At 47.1% G+C, this 16,824-nt stretch overlaps 1 protein-coding gene and 1 long non-coding RNA gene across 3 annotated transcripts, besides 1 other annotated feature; one reads left to right on the top strand and one right to left on the bottom strand.

Moving 5' to 3' along the window:
• Positions 1-964: 964 nt before the first annotated feature.
• TMEM269 (transmembrane protein 269) lies at positions 965-16,801 on the bottom strand. The gene is made up of 6 exons (NM_001354602.2): positions 16,710-16,801; positions 11,858-11,996; positions 8,890-8,987; positions 8,048-8,191; positions 7,179-7,379; positions 965-3,694 (listed from the first exon to the last, which is right to left on the bottom strand). The coding sequence occupies exons 2-6, from the start codon at positions 11,896-11,898 to the stop codon at positions 3,567-3,569; spliced, it is 612 nt and encodes a 203-aa protein (NP_001341531.2). The 5' UTR covers positions 11,899-11,996; positions 16,710-16,801; the 3' UTR covers positions 965-3,566.
• On the top strand, positions 8,123-13,471 carry LOC107984946 (uncharacterized). Of its 2 annotated transcripts, none has more exons than XR_007066036.1 (2): positions 8,123-8,210; positions 13,094-13,471. It is a non-coding gene; the product is annotated as an uncharacterized LOC107984946 (long non-coding RNA). The 2 variants fall into 2 exon arrangements; XR_001738020.2 differs by having other exon boundaries at positions 8,126-8,210; positions 12,937-13,471.
• Positions 16,060-16,801: an enhancer, noted in NCBI's record as "H3K4me1 hESC enhancer chr1:43250662-43251403 (GRCh37/hg19 assembly coordinates)". NCBI's record gives its function as "activates a minimal SCP1, AML or CMV promoter by ChIP-STARR-seq in primed H9 embryonic stem cells {active_cell/tissue: H9 hESC(primed)}" and the evidence as "EXISTENCE:reporter gene assay evidence [ECO:0000049][PMID:30033119]".

Here is a 16,824-nt window from a genome sequence, read left to right as displayed (position 1 = left end):
TAAAAATACAAAAAATTAGCTGGGTGTAGTGGCGGGCGCCTGTAATCCCAGCTACTCAGGAGGCTGAGGCAGGAGAATCACTTGAACCCAGGAGGCGGAGGTTGCAGTGAGCCAAGATCACTCCATTGCACTCCAGCCTGCGTGACAAGAACAAAACTCCGTCTAAAAAAAAAAAAAAAGAAGTGTACTCAAGGGTAAAGTTTTAATAAAATTAATAATTTTTACTACTTCATCATAACATTCTTCAGTTTTTTGTTTTTTACTGTGAGCCTGCAGCAGTGAAAAGTACAATTAACTAGCAATACTGTTTAGGGCCACTGCCTAGATTCAAACCAGAATGTCAGGCATGTTGCCCACCATTGCTTTGCTCCATTAGCAAAAATGTCAACAGAGTGACATTTTAGTCCCAGTTTTAGGATTAAGAAAACACGGTGGCTCACGCCTGTAATCCCAGCACTTTGGGAGGCGGAGACAGATGGATCATGAGGTCAGGAGATCGAGACCATCTTGGCTAACACGGTGAAACCCGTCTCTACTAAAAATACAACAACAACAAAAAAATTAGCCAGGCGTGGTGGCGGGCACCTATAGTCCCAGGTACTCGGGAGGCTGAGACAGGAGAATTGCTTGAACCTGGGAAGCAGAGCTTGTAGTGAGCGTGAGACTCCGTCTCAAAAAAAAACAAAACAAAAAAACAGTTTTGACCCTGAAGGGGTCTCAGGAACCCCAGGGGTCCACAGACCACACTTTGAGAACTGCTGACCTAAAACCTGTGGTCACCTACCTCATTGGATTGTTTAGGGGATTATGTAAAATAGTAAAATTCAGGGAACGGTTCCTGACACATAGTAAGTTATATGGTATAATATAGTAAATGTTAATTATACATTTACTGTACATAGTAAATGTTAACTATTATTACCATTCTAAATTGAAATATGTACATATGGGAAGAGAAGAAGGCTAGAGGGGACAGAAAGCCATCTAACATTTATTTAACATATTTTACGTGCCATTCATTATTCTAGGTGTTTTACATTCATCCACATAAAACATCACGGTTGTTCAATCCACAAAACAACCCTGAAAGGAAGTAAATCCTCCATTTTACAGATAGGAAAATAGGCTTAGAGAGATTAAACGTTTTATTCAAGGTCACAGGGCTAAAAGAGTAGCAGAATTCTCAGTCACTTGATTCCGCTTATCAGACACAGAAGTAGGACTTCAGGTTAGGAAGAAGGGACTAGAAGTTGACCAGGAGGGAAATCTACACTCTCTCTCAAGCTTAGGACAAAGAGAACTGCCTAAACCCCACTGGCTTCATGTATGCATTTGAGAAGTGCAGATTTTAAAGTCTTGGCCTTCTCCCTTGTTCCTAAGAGGAAGCCCAAGAAGAGACATTCTATTTTAGAAAACCACTGTCTGAGGAAGTGAAGGCATTGAATGAGTAGCCTTAGTATCTGAGACCCTCAAGCCCGTATAGAAGTATAACCATACTCTCAGAGAGGTGCAAGGAAGCATAGATCCCTCTGTTAACCGGCTGTCAGCTGACCTATAACTATCCTAGTGTCATTAACCTACAAAAAAAACTGGAGGCAATTAAGTATGAATTATTGCCATTACAATCAAGCGATAATTTACACATCCAAATGGGCATTTTACTTTTCAAAGCTGTCCTCCTGGGGGTCTGTATATTTCTCTCTGCTGCTGTCACTTAAAATGGACATGGAAATTCTCTTTCAGAATTGCATCTTTTTCCTTTCAACATAGTTTCAAATTTTAGAAACAGCCACAAGGCATTTGAGTCCAAATATGATACCTAATTTGATTTAAGAATACGACATAATTGGCTAATCTCAAATGTTAGGTTTTTGGAAAAAATTTAGTTCAGAATAAAACCTGTTTTTCGCTTTTGGTGGTGGTGGTGTTGTTCCAGCTGCTTGGTCCTTAAGAATTTATGTGAAGACCATTTTCAGATTGGAGTTCCTAAAATGCTTTGATTAAGGGGAGCATCACATTGAAATGGATGTACAGCATTGAAGGACATTGTATTGAAATGTCTAAGCTCGTGTATATTTGTAAAATTCTTACCACATTATAGAAACCTTGTATGTAACTTACTAGAATCCACAACTAAATCAATTCATATACAAAGGGAACATTTCTGAGTGTCAGGCACTATGGCAGATAGCAAAAATACAAAACTTAAACTGAAGGAGATATAAAGTCCTGGGACACAGGCAAATCCATCTAACTAGGAACATATGAATGATTTAACAGGAAGGCACCGTCTATTCTGTTACAGTCAAATCTTACTTTGGGTTTTTATTTTTAAACATCTAATTTGAGAATAGATGTATATTTACCACATACATTGTTCTGGAAACTTAAAAAAGTTATATCCAGGGTAGAAGGTGTTCTGGCACAGTCTCTGAGGGTGGAGCAGAACCAGCCATCAATCCTTTTTTCCACCATCTGGGAGGTGGAATGTCTATCTACGCTGGGGGCTCAGTGGACCTGAGTTCTCGGTGAGGTACACCTTTGCCATACAGTACTGTTTATTTCTATTTGATTTGGATTTTAGAATATGAAGTGGCATCTGAATAGCTAGAGTTTAGTAGTTTCCAGCGTAGGAAAGAAAATCCACACGAGATCCTGCAAGCCAGATGATGCCCTGTGTCACCAATGTATCTAACTGCTAAACAAAGCAAAAGGCGGCAGCTTTGAACTATTAAAATACAGAATGTAGGCCGGGCGCGGTGGCTCACGCTTGTAATCCCAGCACTTTGGGAGGCCGAGGCGGGCGGATCACGAGGTCAGGAGATCGAGACCATCCTGGCTAACACGGTGAAACCCCCGTCTCTACTAAAAATACAAAAAATTAGCCGGGCGAGGTGGCGGGAGCCTGTAGTCCCAGCTACGCGGGAGGCTGAGGCAGGAGAATGGCGTGAATCCCGGGGGGCGGAGCCTGCAGTGAGCCGAGATCGCTCCACTGCACTCCAGCCTGGGTGAAAGAGCGAGACTCCTTCTCAAAAAAAAAAAAAAAAAAAAAAAAAAAACCCAGAATGTTGAAGTTACAAAATCCTACACACATTCAAACTAGGCAACAAGAGAGTCCTGTGATTGGCTCTACTCTCAGAGCCAGAGTCTGCAAGAGTAAGAAATGCTTCAGGAAGCCCCACCAGGCAGGGCTGAGGCTGAGGCCAATACCAGTTCTGAAGGCTCTCACTCCTTTCCAAGGGATGGACCTTAGTAGCACACAGTCACCCGGCTGGTAATGGAGCTGGAACCCAAACCCAGCCCACATTGAGCTTGAGGCGGGGGGATATTCTGCTCTACATGACATAAACAAGTATTGTCCGCAAGGGAGTCAGAACCCTGAATAAAGACAAAGAAGTGAAGTTCACTGACCCTGCTTTGGGTTTCTAACTTCATGGCAACAGACATACCATATATCTAGTATATGGCAACACAGGTACATACAAAGCTTTAGTGCAGGCTTGACCCAATATGCTGACACAAACCCCACAGAGGCCGGCAGGAGCTGGTAGAGCTGCTTAGCTTCCTCAGTGCTGTGGCGAAAGACAGGCTGCCTTGCCCCACAGAGCATCTGGAAAGAAGATGTACGAGAGCGACCACATCAGGCAGTAAAAAGCAGACAGAGACAATGGGGAGAAAAACAGCATGATGACACCTGGAAGAACAAAAAGTGCAGACACTCAATTTCTAGGAAGCTGTCTTCTATGCTTTCTACCCTCTACTCTCCCGTCCCCACCCTCCCATTCTTTACTTTTCACCCACAGTGCCTAAGAAACAAACAGAAAGAGACAGGAGCCCTGTCTTCAAGTTCAGTTTAATAGAGATAGGTAAGTAACTAGAGAAGTATAGCCCAATGCAGTCTCAGGTTCCACTGTGTCAAATTCACATCAGAAGTTCCAGCCAATAATAAATCTGAATTGCCTTTGTTAGGGAAAACAAAACAAACCAAGACAAAAACCAAAAACCCTTGTTAGGAAAAAAAAATCTTCCTCATTGTTTTAAATTTAACATGTGATAACGACCAATGCAGTATGATATGTATGCAGAAAAGAGTTTACGTGCAGGCCTGAGACTGCTATCCTCAGAAAGGCCTTCTTGCAAGGCTGGCCCTTGGCTGATGGCTGGAAACTTGAATAGTAAACAGTTCCCTAGACCAACATAAAACTTTCCCCAACTGATAAGAGTGTCTCACTGTTCCTAGACTGTCCATATAAGCACGGTGGTAACACCTGGTTTCCTTCTGGGAATCTGGAATTTTGGTACATGGTAGGCACAGGGTGCTGACATGACCATCCCCCAGTAAAACTTGGGCACTGAGTCTCTCATCAGTTTCCCTGGTAGCCAACACTTTATTGTATTATCACAATTCAGTGCTGAGGAATTAAGTGCATCTCGTGTGACTCTACTGGGAGAGGACTCTCTGAAGCTTGCACCTGGTTTCCCCTGAACTTTTTCCCATGCACCTTTTCCCTTTGCTGATTTTGCTTTACATCCTTTTGCTGAAATCAATCTTAGCCATGAGTACAACAAGCTGAGTCCTGTGAGTCTTCTCAGGGGTGGTCTTGGGGACTCCCAACACAATTTGCATCTCAGATTCGCCACCAAAAGGCAAAAGAGCACTCACGTTTGTGGAATATCTATTTTGCACTAGACATTCTGCTAGATGTGTACATTTTTTTCATTTACACTTCACAATAATCCCGTGGTTTAGAACTAAGTCTGTTTTTCATAAGAAGAAACAGAAGTAACCTGTACGAGGTCCTGATTCAAACCCACTTCTGCTTGACTCTTAAAAACTAGACACACTGCCTCAGGGAGCTCAAAAAGAGGACAAAGAGAGTATGAGCCAATGGTATTTCCATGGGAATGATCACCATGTATCCTGTAAGAGAAATCAGAACATATGATCTGATAGAAGACCACTTCTAGGAGTAATAAGCAGTTAAGGATATGCATGGGCATTTTGGAATACTGTATTTCAAGAATAGTCATTGATCTGTTGAGGCAAAAAGACAATACTGAAAACCAGAGTTGTCTTGGAAAGTACATGGCTGGCGCGTTGGCTCATGCCTGTAATCACAGTACTTTGGGAGGCCAAGGCAGGAGGATTGCTTGAATCCATGAATTTGAGATCAGCCTGGACAAAAGAGTGAGACCCCTCTCTACCATGTATGTATGATTTTCGGCTACTCCCTGTAAAAAAAAAAAAAAAAAGTATTTCATATAAGGTTTCAGAGTGCTGGTCACAGGCCAGTTCTCAGACGTACGAAGCTCTGTGGGGTAGAAGGGACCTCAGTCTAAGAAGGTGACTGGCTGCACTCCAAATAAGAGGAATGTCCACAGAAGCCATTTTGAAATCTACCCAGTAGGGCTCTGGTATTAACTGTTGTCAAAATCTGTAAGGTGCAGTTTCCTCCCTTACTCACACAGCAGGACAATCTGAGGAAGGCTGAGGCCAAGTATGTGGTTTATTTTGAGAAGAGGGGGATCAGTAGTATCTACAGGAGCGAAGAACACTAAGCAATACTACTGTTATGAGATAGGAGAAGGGGAGGTGGAGGAGAAGGGCGAGGCTAGAAATGGACACATCTGTGCCAGAGGATTTATATTTATTATCTCATTTAATCTCAGAAATCCTGCAAAGTAGGGATTAGTGGCTTCGTTTTACAGATGGATAAAATTGAGCTCAAAACAGTGAGGTATTAGCCCAAGTTCAACTAATATGTGCTAGAGTTAGAGCTTGGGCTCAGGTCTTCCTGAGAAGCTTCCAAACCCAGAAGCTTCTCACCACCATTCTGCCTCTGCCACCTAAGGCATAGGAGGAGCCAGCTCCTGGAGCTTTGAAAGGGCTGTTGGTGCTAATGTTACAAAAGGTATAAACCTTAAGGGAAAGGTCAGGATGAAACCGAAGACCCTATAAACTAGATGGGACTCACATGGGAATAATGGAAGGAACTCTGGATCCCCATAGATGTTTGTCTTGTTTACAGGAGCACATTTTAAGAGAAGAAAAACTGATATTCCTTGAAGGAAGCCCTAAATCAGGGGAAGCTCTAGGGAGACGTCTGCAAGGCCCCAGTGTGACCAGGAACTCAGGGCCTGGAGCCCAGTGCTCAGTTACTTCAAACCCAACCCTAAGAGTCATCCATGTCTCCTCCTCCTTCCTCAATGTCAATTCTATTTCCAACATTTATCTCAAATCCATTCACTTCTCTTTATCTCCACTGCCACCATCACCTCTCATCTGAACAAAAAGTTTGTTTTCCTCCTTGCATTCTCAGACCTACAATCTGTTCTCCACATTGCAGTCAAAGTGATTATTGAAAACTGCTGCTCCAGCCATACCACTTCCCTGCATAAATCCCTTTAGAGGCTCCTCATTTGCCTTTGGTATCAAATCCCAAATCCTGCCAGGTCTGCTCACCTCATGGCCTCAGTCTGTGTCACTGGCTGTCTCAGCAAGTTTCAGCCACATTGCTCCACTAATGTGTCCAGCCCCTGTGGCCTCAAAGCCATCACAACATACTGTTCCTCTGCCTGAACCTCCTGAACCTCCCCATCCCCACCTGGCCACTCCTCTTGTAGGTCTCACTTAAATGACACCTGCTTAAGGATCCTTTCCTTCCCTTCAGATCATGCCAGCCTGAAGTAGGTCACCCTCTGACACTCAGAGCACCCTGCACTTACATAATACATACAGTAAACCTACATGTTTCTAGATATTTCTGCCATTATTTGTTTGATCTCTGTCTCCCCTGTGATCAGCCTCTAGATTCAGAGGCAGGGACTGTTTGCCTAGTTTACCAATTTGATTTCCAGTACCTGGCACACGGTGGGTGCTTCCTAAATCTCTATTGAACTTATTAACATTTAGCAAGTATATACTGAGCACCTACGATGTGACTGACACACTTCTAGGCACTGGGGATTATATTAATAGCATGAATAAAAGAGAGTCCTCTATTGGGGGTAGGTTTAGTGTTTATAGACAATAAGAAAACTAGTAAATATGTCAGATGATTATCAGTTCTATGGGGAAAAATAAAGCAGAATAAGAGAGATAGAAAAATGCTGGGGTGAGGTACAGTGGCAATAAGCAACTGTGATAACAAACTGGCCATAGTGACATTTTCACTCACCTCCTATATAAACCAATTTTTTCCAGTTCTCAGACTCCAGGATTTTGTCATATGGATAGTAGCTCTGGTCCATCATGAAGAGAATCATGAGTGAGGCCATGCAGCAGAGGATGAACCTGTTGCCTTTGGTCAGAAGGGAGGTGGAAGCCAAGATGCAGGAAGCATAGGGGCAGGGTAGACCCTTGTATGTGGAGGGGACTCCTGCCAGGAAGAACGCTGGAGATTAGCTGCTTCCCTCTGCTCTAAAGATACCAAAATGAAGCAAGCCCCTCTCTCTTTGGGTATTCCCCTACCCAGGATACAATATTCCCTTAAACCCAAAGGCAGTGGCAGGCTGAAAATCATTTATTCACAAAGATGATGCATGGGTTTTACATTGGTTTTCCAAGGGAAAGCAGGCAGCCAGCTAGGACCAGGGTGTGCCCTGGCTCCTAGGAAGTCTCTGCTGAAAGGGTCCTTTGAGACCTGCTAGTCTAAGCCCTGTGCTGTATCTGCTCTCCCTCACTTTGTGACCTTAGGCAAGACAATTTCCCTCACTGGAGCATGGTTTCTCCATCTGTTTTAAGGAACTGGAATACAACCTCCAGTTCTAGTCCAAGAATCAATGTGCTCCATCCAAAGGTCACAGGTCACGCATTGAGAAAGAGGCACAGCTGCTCCAAGAAATGAAGGCCCTTGCCTCCCAGCCCAGGGCTCTGCCAATGCAGCCTGCAGCCTTCAGTGGGCATGGGGCATGGGGCACGCAAGGAGGAAGGAAGAGGAGCTCCAAAAAAGGAGTCAGTAACTGCACCCCAGGCTTCTGGCACCCGACAGCCCCCCGTTCTGTGCTCCCCTGCCCTCTGTTCTAAGGCAACCTTGGTTCCACTCACCAGGTGAATAAAAGCACAAGTGGAAAGAAGCAGCTGACACATAGATGATGGCCAGGATCCCACTCAGAAGTCCATCCACGCCTAGGAGCAGAGCGGAGGCCAAGCCGAAGGTGGTGAAGACGGCAAAGTCATTCAGCTCGGCTCCTGCCCCAGACGGCCCAAGGTTAGAAGAACTTATACTCCCACGTCTTGCACCTTAGCCCCCATCTAGTAGGGGAGCTGGGGTAGTGATAAGAGGGGTCCTGAGGTCACAGAAAGCAACAGCTGCTCCCCTGGGGCAGTCTTCAGATCAAAGCTCGGGATCTCCTCCTGGCTCTGCCTTGCGCTGGCCGGTGGCCTTGGGCAAGTATCTCCCCCTCAGATCTTAGTCTTCCCATCCCTTAACATGCAAGGCTTGGACTACAATCAGATACAAACTGATAAGCTGTGGGACTTTTTTCACGCTAAATCTTACATGGAAGCATTTTACTGTATTTTAAACCAGCTGCTCTGCTGGTGTAATTTTCATCTCCTCTCTGCCAACTTCCTCTCACCCCACCCCTACCCACTTCCACTCCAATACCTGGATGGGCCCAGAACAGGGAAGCAGGGCAGATGAGAAAACTGAAAGCCAGGACAAGGACTGCCCAAAGGTCAGCAAGTGAGCCAGCAGAGGAGCTGGAGCTGGACCGCGGGGCTCCTGAACTCCTGCTCCAGGGCTGCTGCTGCTGCTGCTCTCAGCGGGGTGTGAACAGGGGTGGATGCCTGATGAAGGCCTGCGGGATGTTAGAGGATGGACGAAGGGGTGACCCCAGATGGATGCTACTGGGGGCAAGGATTAGGGGCCTGGGGCCTGAACTCACCCAATTTGGAGCATATGTTGATGTGGCTGGTCATTGCCCTGACTGCCATGTCTAACAGGAAGCTGACCAGGAGCATCCGGGAGGCATAGTGGCATTTCCTAAAGTGCAGGCCAGCAAGCCCAAACAGGGAAGCACTTTCGCAGTTTCCACTGGAGACTCTCCCCTGCCCCCCATTAGTATATTAGTATACACTAATATACTTCCCACACACCTCCCACACTTGCACACATACACACCTCTTCATGTCCCCCACACTCACATCCCTTCTGATATATGCTGCTTTTTGCACCACACATGCACATACACATGCCTACATCCCTCACAAACTCAATCTACAGTCTTAAAGGGGTGCCCCAAACCCCCTAGAACATCACTAAGATCCCTTCCAACTCTAACTTCCAGGCATTTTTGATGGCACAGGGGACCTAGGTTCTAGTCCAGCCTCTGCCACCATCTCCCTATGAATTCTTAGGTAAATCACTACCCCATCTCTAGGCCTGTTCCCCCATCTGTAAAATGAGGAGTGTGTGCTAAATGATTTGTTTAATAGATACAAACCTATTCAGATGACCTGTTTCTCCTTGTGTGAGTTTTGGTAACTTATGTCTTTTAAGGGATTGATTATTTTCAGCTACGATATCAAATTTGTGGGCGTAGAGTTGTTCATAGCATTCCTTTATTATCCTTTTAATATCTGTGGAATCAGTAGTAATGGCCCTTGTTTCATTTCTGATATTGGTAATTTCTGTCTTGTCTTTTTTTTAACTTGGTTAGCCTGGCTAGAGGTTTACTGATTTTATTGATCTTCTCAAAGAATCAGCTTTTGGTTTCATCCATTTTTCTCTATTAATTTCTTGTTTTCAATTTCTCTGATTGCCACTCTAATTTTTATTTTATTTTTTTGAGATGGAGTCCCTCTGTTGCCCAGGCTGGAGTGCAGTGGCACGATCTCCACTCACTGCAACCTCCGCCTCCCAGGTTCAAGTGATTCTCTTGCCTCAGCCTCCTAAGTAGCTGGGATTACAGGCATTTGCCACCACATCCAGCTAATTTTTGTATTTTTAGTAGAGATGGTGTTTCACCATGTTGGCCAGGCTGGTCTCGAGCTCCTGACCTCAAGTGATCCGCCGGCCTCAGCTTCCCAAAGTGCTGGAACTACAGGCATGTGCCACTGCGCCCGGCCTGATTTTTACTTTTTACTTTTTATGCTTCCTTTGGATTTAGTTTGCTTTTCTTATTCTAGTTTCCTAAGGTTAAAGCTTAAATTATGGATTTTAAATCTTTCTTTTCTTGACTATATGCATTCAATGCAATAAATTTCCCTCAAAGCAAAGCACTGCTTTCCCTGCATCCTATAAGTTTTGATAAATCATGTTTTCATTTTTTTTAGTTCAAAACATTTTCAATGTTTCGTGAGACTTCTTCTTTTATCCACGTGTCATTTAGAAGTGTGTTGTTTAATCTCCATATATTTCAGGATTTTTCAGCTATCTTTCTGTTATTGACTTCTAGTTCATTTCCATGTTGTCTGAGAGTATACTTTTTTAAAATTTGTTAAGGTATGTTTTATGGCCCAGAATGTGATCTGTCCAAGTGAGTTTGAGAAGAATGTGTACTCTGCATGGTTGGATGAAGTACTCTATAGATGTCCATTTTATCCAGGTGACCAATAGTGTTGCTGACTTCAACTATGTGTTTGCTGATTTTCTGCCTGTTGGATCTGTCAGTTTCTGATAGAGGGGGTGGAAATCTCCAACCTTGATAGTAGACTCATCAATTTGTCCTTGCAGTTCTATTAGTTTTTGCCTCATGTATTTTGATGCTTTAAATGATTTCCATGAGCTCTTTCATACCCCACATTCTTGATTCTGTGCCTCCATCCAGCACCTGCTCTCAGGTCCCTCTAAAAGCTGCCACCACAGCTCCAAGCAAACCTGCCCTGAGAGGCCCATTCTCAAGTCTGCACCCTGATTGCAATGCTTAGGCAACCCAGAAGAAGCAAAGGGCCTGACCTAGACCTCAGCTGTCTCCAAACTACCACAGCATTTCCTTTGTTTAGACCTAGTCCTATGTATCTAAAGGGGACTGAAGTTAAATAAAAATACTCAGGGCACCATCATGGCAACACTCCTAGAAAATTAGGCTGTACTAAGAGGATAGAAATTTTCTGGGCTGGGCACAGTGGCTCACGTTTGTAATCCCAGCACTTTGGGAGGCCTAGGCAGGTGGATCACTTGAGCCCAGGTGTTTGAGACCAGCCTGGGCAATATAATGAGACCTCATCTCTTAAAAAAAAAAAAAAAAAAGTTTCTTAAAAAAAGAAATTTTCTGCTGTAGGTGTGCCCTACTTTATTATACTCCAAAAACCAAGACTTAGAGAATCACAAAAATTTCCAGCTGGAAGGGGGCTTAAACATCATCAGGTAAAGTCATCTTATTTTGTGGATGAGAAACAAATCCAAAGAGAAGTCACTTACTGATGGTTATAGACAATCAAGTAGATTAGGAGATGTTACCCGCATCATAAAGGATTTATCTTTAAAGGACTGACATCCCAAAAACATTGAAATGGGATTCAACTTACAGAAATAGAATTTGCTTACAACATTTTGGGGGAACATATAATGTCTCGGACCTCCCAGAACAGTGCTAATTTCAAATATTCTGCCAGGTCATATGATCTAAGAATTAGAAAATATGAACTGTGGCCTACCCAAAGATTGCATAAGGGCCACCAGAACAGAATCTATTGACTTTCTCACAGAAACCATTCTAGACTGCCATAGCTGGAATGAACTGGTACCGTTGAGCATGGGATCTTGGCCTCTTGACTCCTAAGCCACTGCACTTACCCTGGGTACACTGTGGATTCCTATGCCTCAGTGCCTGCTCTCCAAACTCTCCCTCTCCTTCCCGCATGCCATTGGCTCCAGCTCTTGGCTAAGAGCTTGCTGGGCCCCAGACCTACCTGCTGAAGCTGAAGATGATGGAGAAGAGCCCCAGCACCATGTTGGCCAGAGATAAGGCACTGGTAACATCCTTCCAGGAAACCTCATTTATCTGGGAATGGCTCTGGTCATGGCTCAGGAAGAAACTGGTACCCTTACCTGGGGCCCAAGAGAGAGGGGCGAAGGGTTCCCAAGGTTAAGGAGTCCCAGAAGAGGCTCCCAGGGACCTGTTCCACTAGATCTCATCCCAGAATGGCACCCTCCCTACATTCTGTTTCACTGGCTGGACTAAGGGAGACAGGAGGTAGATGAAGGAGACTCAGGAGGTGAAGACAAAGGTGCTGAGGATCCAGCGTCTTGGGAAAGCTCAACAGCAGAGTGGGTGAACCAACACAAGCATAGTTTCCACTCCCTCTCTGACTGCACCTTTGCCCCACAGCACAGACATCCCTCCAGTCCATATGCTGACTCTCCTGAAGCCCCATGGCCCAGAATGCAGGGGGTATGGGGCCCTTCTCCCATCTGAGAGGTGGGCCCTTGTCACTGACGAAGGGTTGGCTTGAGAGAGAAGTAGTGCCAGGAAGCCCTGTTGTCCCACAGTCCAAGTTCACTCCTTCTGAAGCACAGGGCTGCAGCTGAGGTGCCTCAAGGTCCTGGTTCTGACAGGCCCCAGTCAGAACAGCAGGCCTACTTCCCACAAGGAAAGAGACGGCAGATTAAAACTGAATGTGTAGCCGGACACGGTGGCTCATGCCTGTAATCCCAGCACTTTGGGAGGCTGAGGCAAGTGGATCATCTGAGGCCAGGAGTTCGAGACCAGCCTAGCCAACATGTTGAAACCCTGTCTCTACTAAAAATACAAAAATTAGCCGGGTGTGGCGGTGCATGCCTGTAATCCCAGCTACTCAGGAGGCTGAGGCAGGAGAATCGCTTGAACCTTAGGAGGCAGAGGTTGCAGTGAGCCGAGATCACACCACTGCACTCCAGCCTGGGTGACCGAGTGAGACTCTGTCTAAAAAAAAAAAAAAAAAAGTGTACAACACTGAATAGTTCACAAAGATCTTTTCGCCATGTTCCCATCCCCATGTCTGTTTCTCAGATCCTGACAACCTCAGGAGATGGTGCTAGAATTCTCCCCTATTTTATGAATGAGGAAACTACAGTTAAAAGAGAGGAAGATACTTGCTCAAAGTCACATGGTAAGTAGAACCAAATCCCATCTGTTTGATTCTAAATCTGCTGTTTCTTCGCTGCAGGCATAGATTTCAGCAGGAGGAGGTGTGTGGGATATGGCAGTGAACGAGCTCAATGGCCAGGCCTGCGAGGCAGCAGCAGCCTCCCTGTGTGTGTGGGACCGTCCAGCCCAGGCCCCCCAGTGCTCCCAGTCTCTCCCAGTCTCTCCCACAACAGGGAATTGGCTGGCCCTGCCCATCTTCACAGTCTGTCTTGTCTCTGTTTTTACTCTAAGACCACATTTGTACACCTTACACTCAATCTGCTTGAGAAACTGAGTCTCTTGGAGAAAGAGCCCCATTCCTCCCCAAAACTGAGAAGCCCCGCTGGTTGGGGCAAATGTACCAGCCACAAATAGATCCTGCACTTGAGTGAAATAAACAAGTTTCAAGGTGTTCCCAGATCTGTTTTCTCATTTAATCCTCACCCATTTCAGATGTGAGGATTAATCTCACCTCCAGCTCTGCCTCCATCCAGCCCCTCTGTTCAGCCCCAGGCCCATCTGGTCTGGACAAGAGCTGAGACAAACCATGGTCTTTTCTCATAAACCTGCCACCAACATGCCAGCAGCTGGGAGGGCTGACTTGGAGTTTGGGACTAGAGTTTATCAGGGCAGCACTGCTGGGCTCACTGCCTCCATGGGCCAGCCTCACTCACCAAAGGTGATCAGTAGCTACATGGCCAGAGCCATTGGGATTCCTAAGACGTTCGTATGCCAGAGCCCCTCCAAACCTAAGACAAGAAGCAATGCAAGCCAGGGAAATCTGGGAAGGGAAGGGGACAAAGGACTTGCTGCATACTCCCTCCCCATGAACCCGCTGTAGTGGTCTCTCCTGGGTCTCTGGGCTGACCCCAGCAAGATCAAACATCCCACTGTCTGCTGCTCAGAGCCAGTTAGCAGGTGCCCAGGGTCTGTCTACCACCTGTCAAGCATTGCTGCTGCCTCTGTGCTACTTCACACTGGTTAATTTTTAATTAATGGTCAATTGTCTACTATATTATCTCTTTCATTATCTCCTCCATTCACAAACCACTTTCACATTTAGGATTTCCATTGGCCCTGTGAGCTCTGTCAGGCAAGGGTTCTTTTTTTTTTTTTTTTTTTTTTTTTTTTTGAGACGGAGTCTCGCTCTGTCGCCCAGGCCGGACTGCGGACTGCAGTGGCACAATCTCGGCTCACTGCAAGCTCCGCTTCCCGGGTTCACGCCATTCTCCTGCCTCAGCCTCCCCAGTAGCTGGGACTACAGGCGCCCGCCACCGCGCCCGGCTAATTTTTTGTATTTTTAGTAGAGACGGGGTTTCACCTTGTTAGCCAGGATGGTCTCGATCTCCTGACCTCATGATCCACCCGCCTCGGCCTCCCAAAGTGCTGGGATTACAGGCGTGAGCCACCGCGCCCGGCCAGGCAAGGGTTCTTGTCCCTACTTTCCAGGTAAAGCAAGGAAGACTCAGAGATGGGAAGAACCTAGCTCAAGGTCACACCAGAAGTGGCAGAACAAAAGTTACAATTTTGCCTTAAGTGTTCTTTCCCCTGTGCTCTGCTGTCTACCAACCAAGAGGACTGAACATTGTATTGGTTATATGCTGTGCCTGAGCTGGGTGCTGGTAGAAACCTTGGTCCCTACCATCACAGAGTTTACAACCTATCCAAGGAAATGAGTCTCTTGCATACATGTAGAGACTTAGACCCTATTCATAGTGGTACCTTATCTTACAGATGGGGAAACTGAGGTTTCAGGAGAGTTATGTGACTTGTCCAGTAAATGGTGGAGCCAGGATTTGATTTGAGTCTCCTCTTTCCCAGTTAAATGCTGTTTGCAGCAGAATGCACAGGTCCCAGGTGTGAAAGGATGTGGAATTGAGAGTAAGGGCTGTAGAGGACAACAGAAATAAGGAACCACCCACTCATTCAGCAAATGTTTGGCCAGGGGCAAGATGTGGTGCCTGGTGCTTGGGACACAGAGAAGATTAAGACCAAAGGACACAGTTTAGCCACAGTACCTAACCCTGCACAGAAAAGAGGCGACCGGGCTACTAATGGAGCACCGAAAAGGGGCTCAGCCTGCCACGGGGTGAGAAGGCTCCCAGGAGGGGCGAGGGCTGAGGCTTGGCACAGCACGAGACTGCAGGTGATCTGGTCACTCCCCAGCTTCTTGAATGCCCTCAGGATGGAGTCCAACTCCTGCGTTTGGTATGCCAGCTCTGCTCAGCTCTCCCAGCTTCCTCTCAGTCCTCCCCACCCTTCTCAGAACCTCCCTTTGGACTTGGGTTGGGTGGTGCTCCTCTTTGGGAAGCCCCTCTGACATCACCCCTGAGCACGTTAGGTGCCCCTCATCTGTATGGTCTTGTCTTCTTGTGCTTACCATGTGACACTTGGCACTCTGTTTGGGCACCGCCTACACTGGCTTTCCTACAGGGAATGCAATTTGAGTGCTGGCCGAGGTCCCTGTACCCAGTATGAGGCCTGACAATAGAAGTTGTTCTGTGTTTGTTAAATTAACATCACAGGTCACTCTGGTGCTTCCCTGAGGTCCTCTCGCTGCACCAAATCTATTGACCTTCCATCTAACCCTGCCCAGTGTGGCCTCCAAGAAGCCTCAGATGAACGCTCAACAGTCCAGCCCCTTCCGCATACCCAGCAACTACCCAGTTCTTATGGTCTTCCACTTACTCATTTTTTAAAATGCGGTTTATTTATTGCCAATGGCTGCTCTGTGCCGGGCCTTGTGTGTGGGGTGGGGGATGAGGAGAACAAGAGCCAGGCCGCACACTCCAGCAGCTCAGAGTCTGGTAGAGGAGGCAGCTGTGTGTAGGGACAAGTGTAATGTTGGACAAGGGGATGTGCAAGCTGTTGTGGAGAGACTAAGTCTGGGGTGGGGCAGGGGAAGGTTCCACTCCTGTGGTGACATTTATCAGGGTCTCTAAGGATGAACAAAGAATTAGGAGGGACATTCTTGGCCCAGGGAATGAACCGCAGGTGCGGAAGCACGATGAGGAGATGGATCCTGGGAGGGAGGGGTGACCAGAGATGACACTGGCAGGTAGGCTGCAGGGGGTGGTCGTGCGGATGTGACCTTGAGTGGCAGCCCGTGGCGGGCACTGTGGTGTTCAGTAAGGGAGCAGAGTCTTTGTCAGACACGGGCAGGAAGCGCAGGGCGGCTTGGAGGCGGCAAACTGCAGAAAAGGAAACCGGCCAGGAGACGGGGGTGGGGGCGAGGAGGGTGGACGTGAGGAGAAAAGCAGGGCTGTGGCAGTGGTGCTGCAGAGGAGACGAGAGTTGAATATGGCTCTGAGGTTTCTAACTGAGTGGCGGGGCGGCGCCTCCGCGGAGTGAAACCATCCAGGCGGAGCTCTCCAGCCGGCGACACGCGTGGCACAGGCACGGCGACGACGCCGCTCATGCCAGTTACAGACCCCCTCCCCTCCCAGCCCCCGCTCCTTTCCTGGAGGCTGGAAACCCTCCGACGGAGGGCCGGCCTCTGGGGATGGGACGTGGTCCCCTGGCCCACTCTGGCTGTCCCGAGAATGCCCAGGCCCGGCTTCAGCCGCGACCACATCGGGAAGATGGAGCCGGGCTGGTCGCCGACAGCACCCGGGCAGCGCCCTTCTCGCCCCTTCCACGCGGCCGCGGAGGCTCACCTGAGGGCTCACCCTGGGGACACGGCATTCCTACATGAGATGGGGGTCCGCCCTCCTGCCCCGTTTCCTGTGCGGTGGAGGGGGCCAGCCCTAGCGAGGAGCGCCTCTCACTCCC

This window comes from Homo sapiens, chromosome 1 (genome assembly GCF_000001405.40).
Source record: "Homo sapiens chromosome 1, GRCh38.p14 Primary Assembly".
Lineage (NCBI taxonomy): Eukaryota > Metazoa > Chordata > Mammalia > Primates > Hominidae > Homo > Homo sapiens.
Note: the sequence above shows the minus strand (reverse complement) of the source record. Positions and strands in the feature narration are given on the sequence as shown.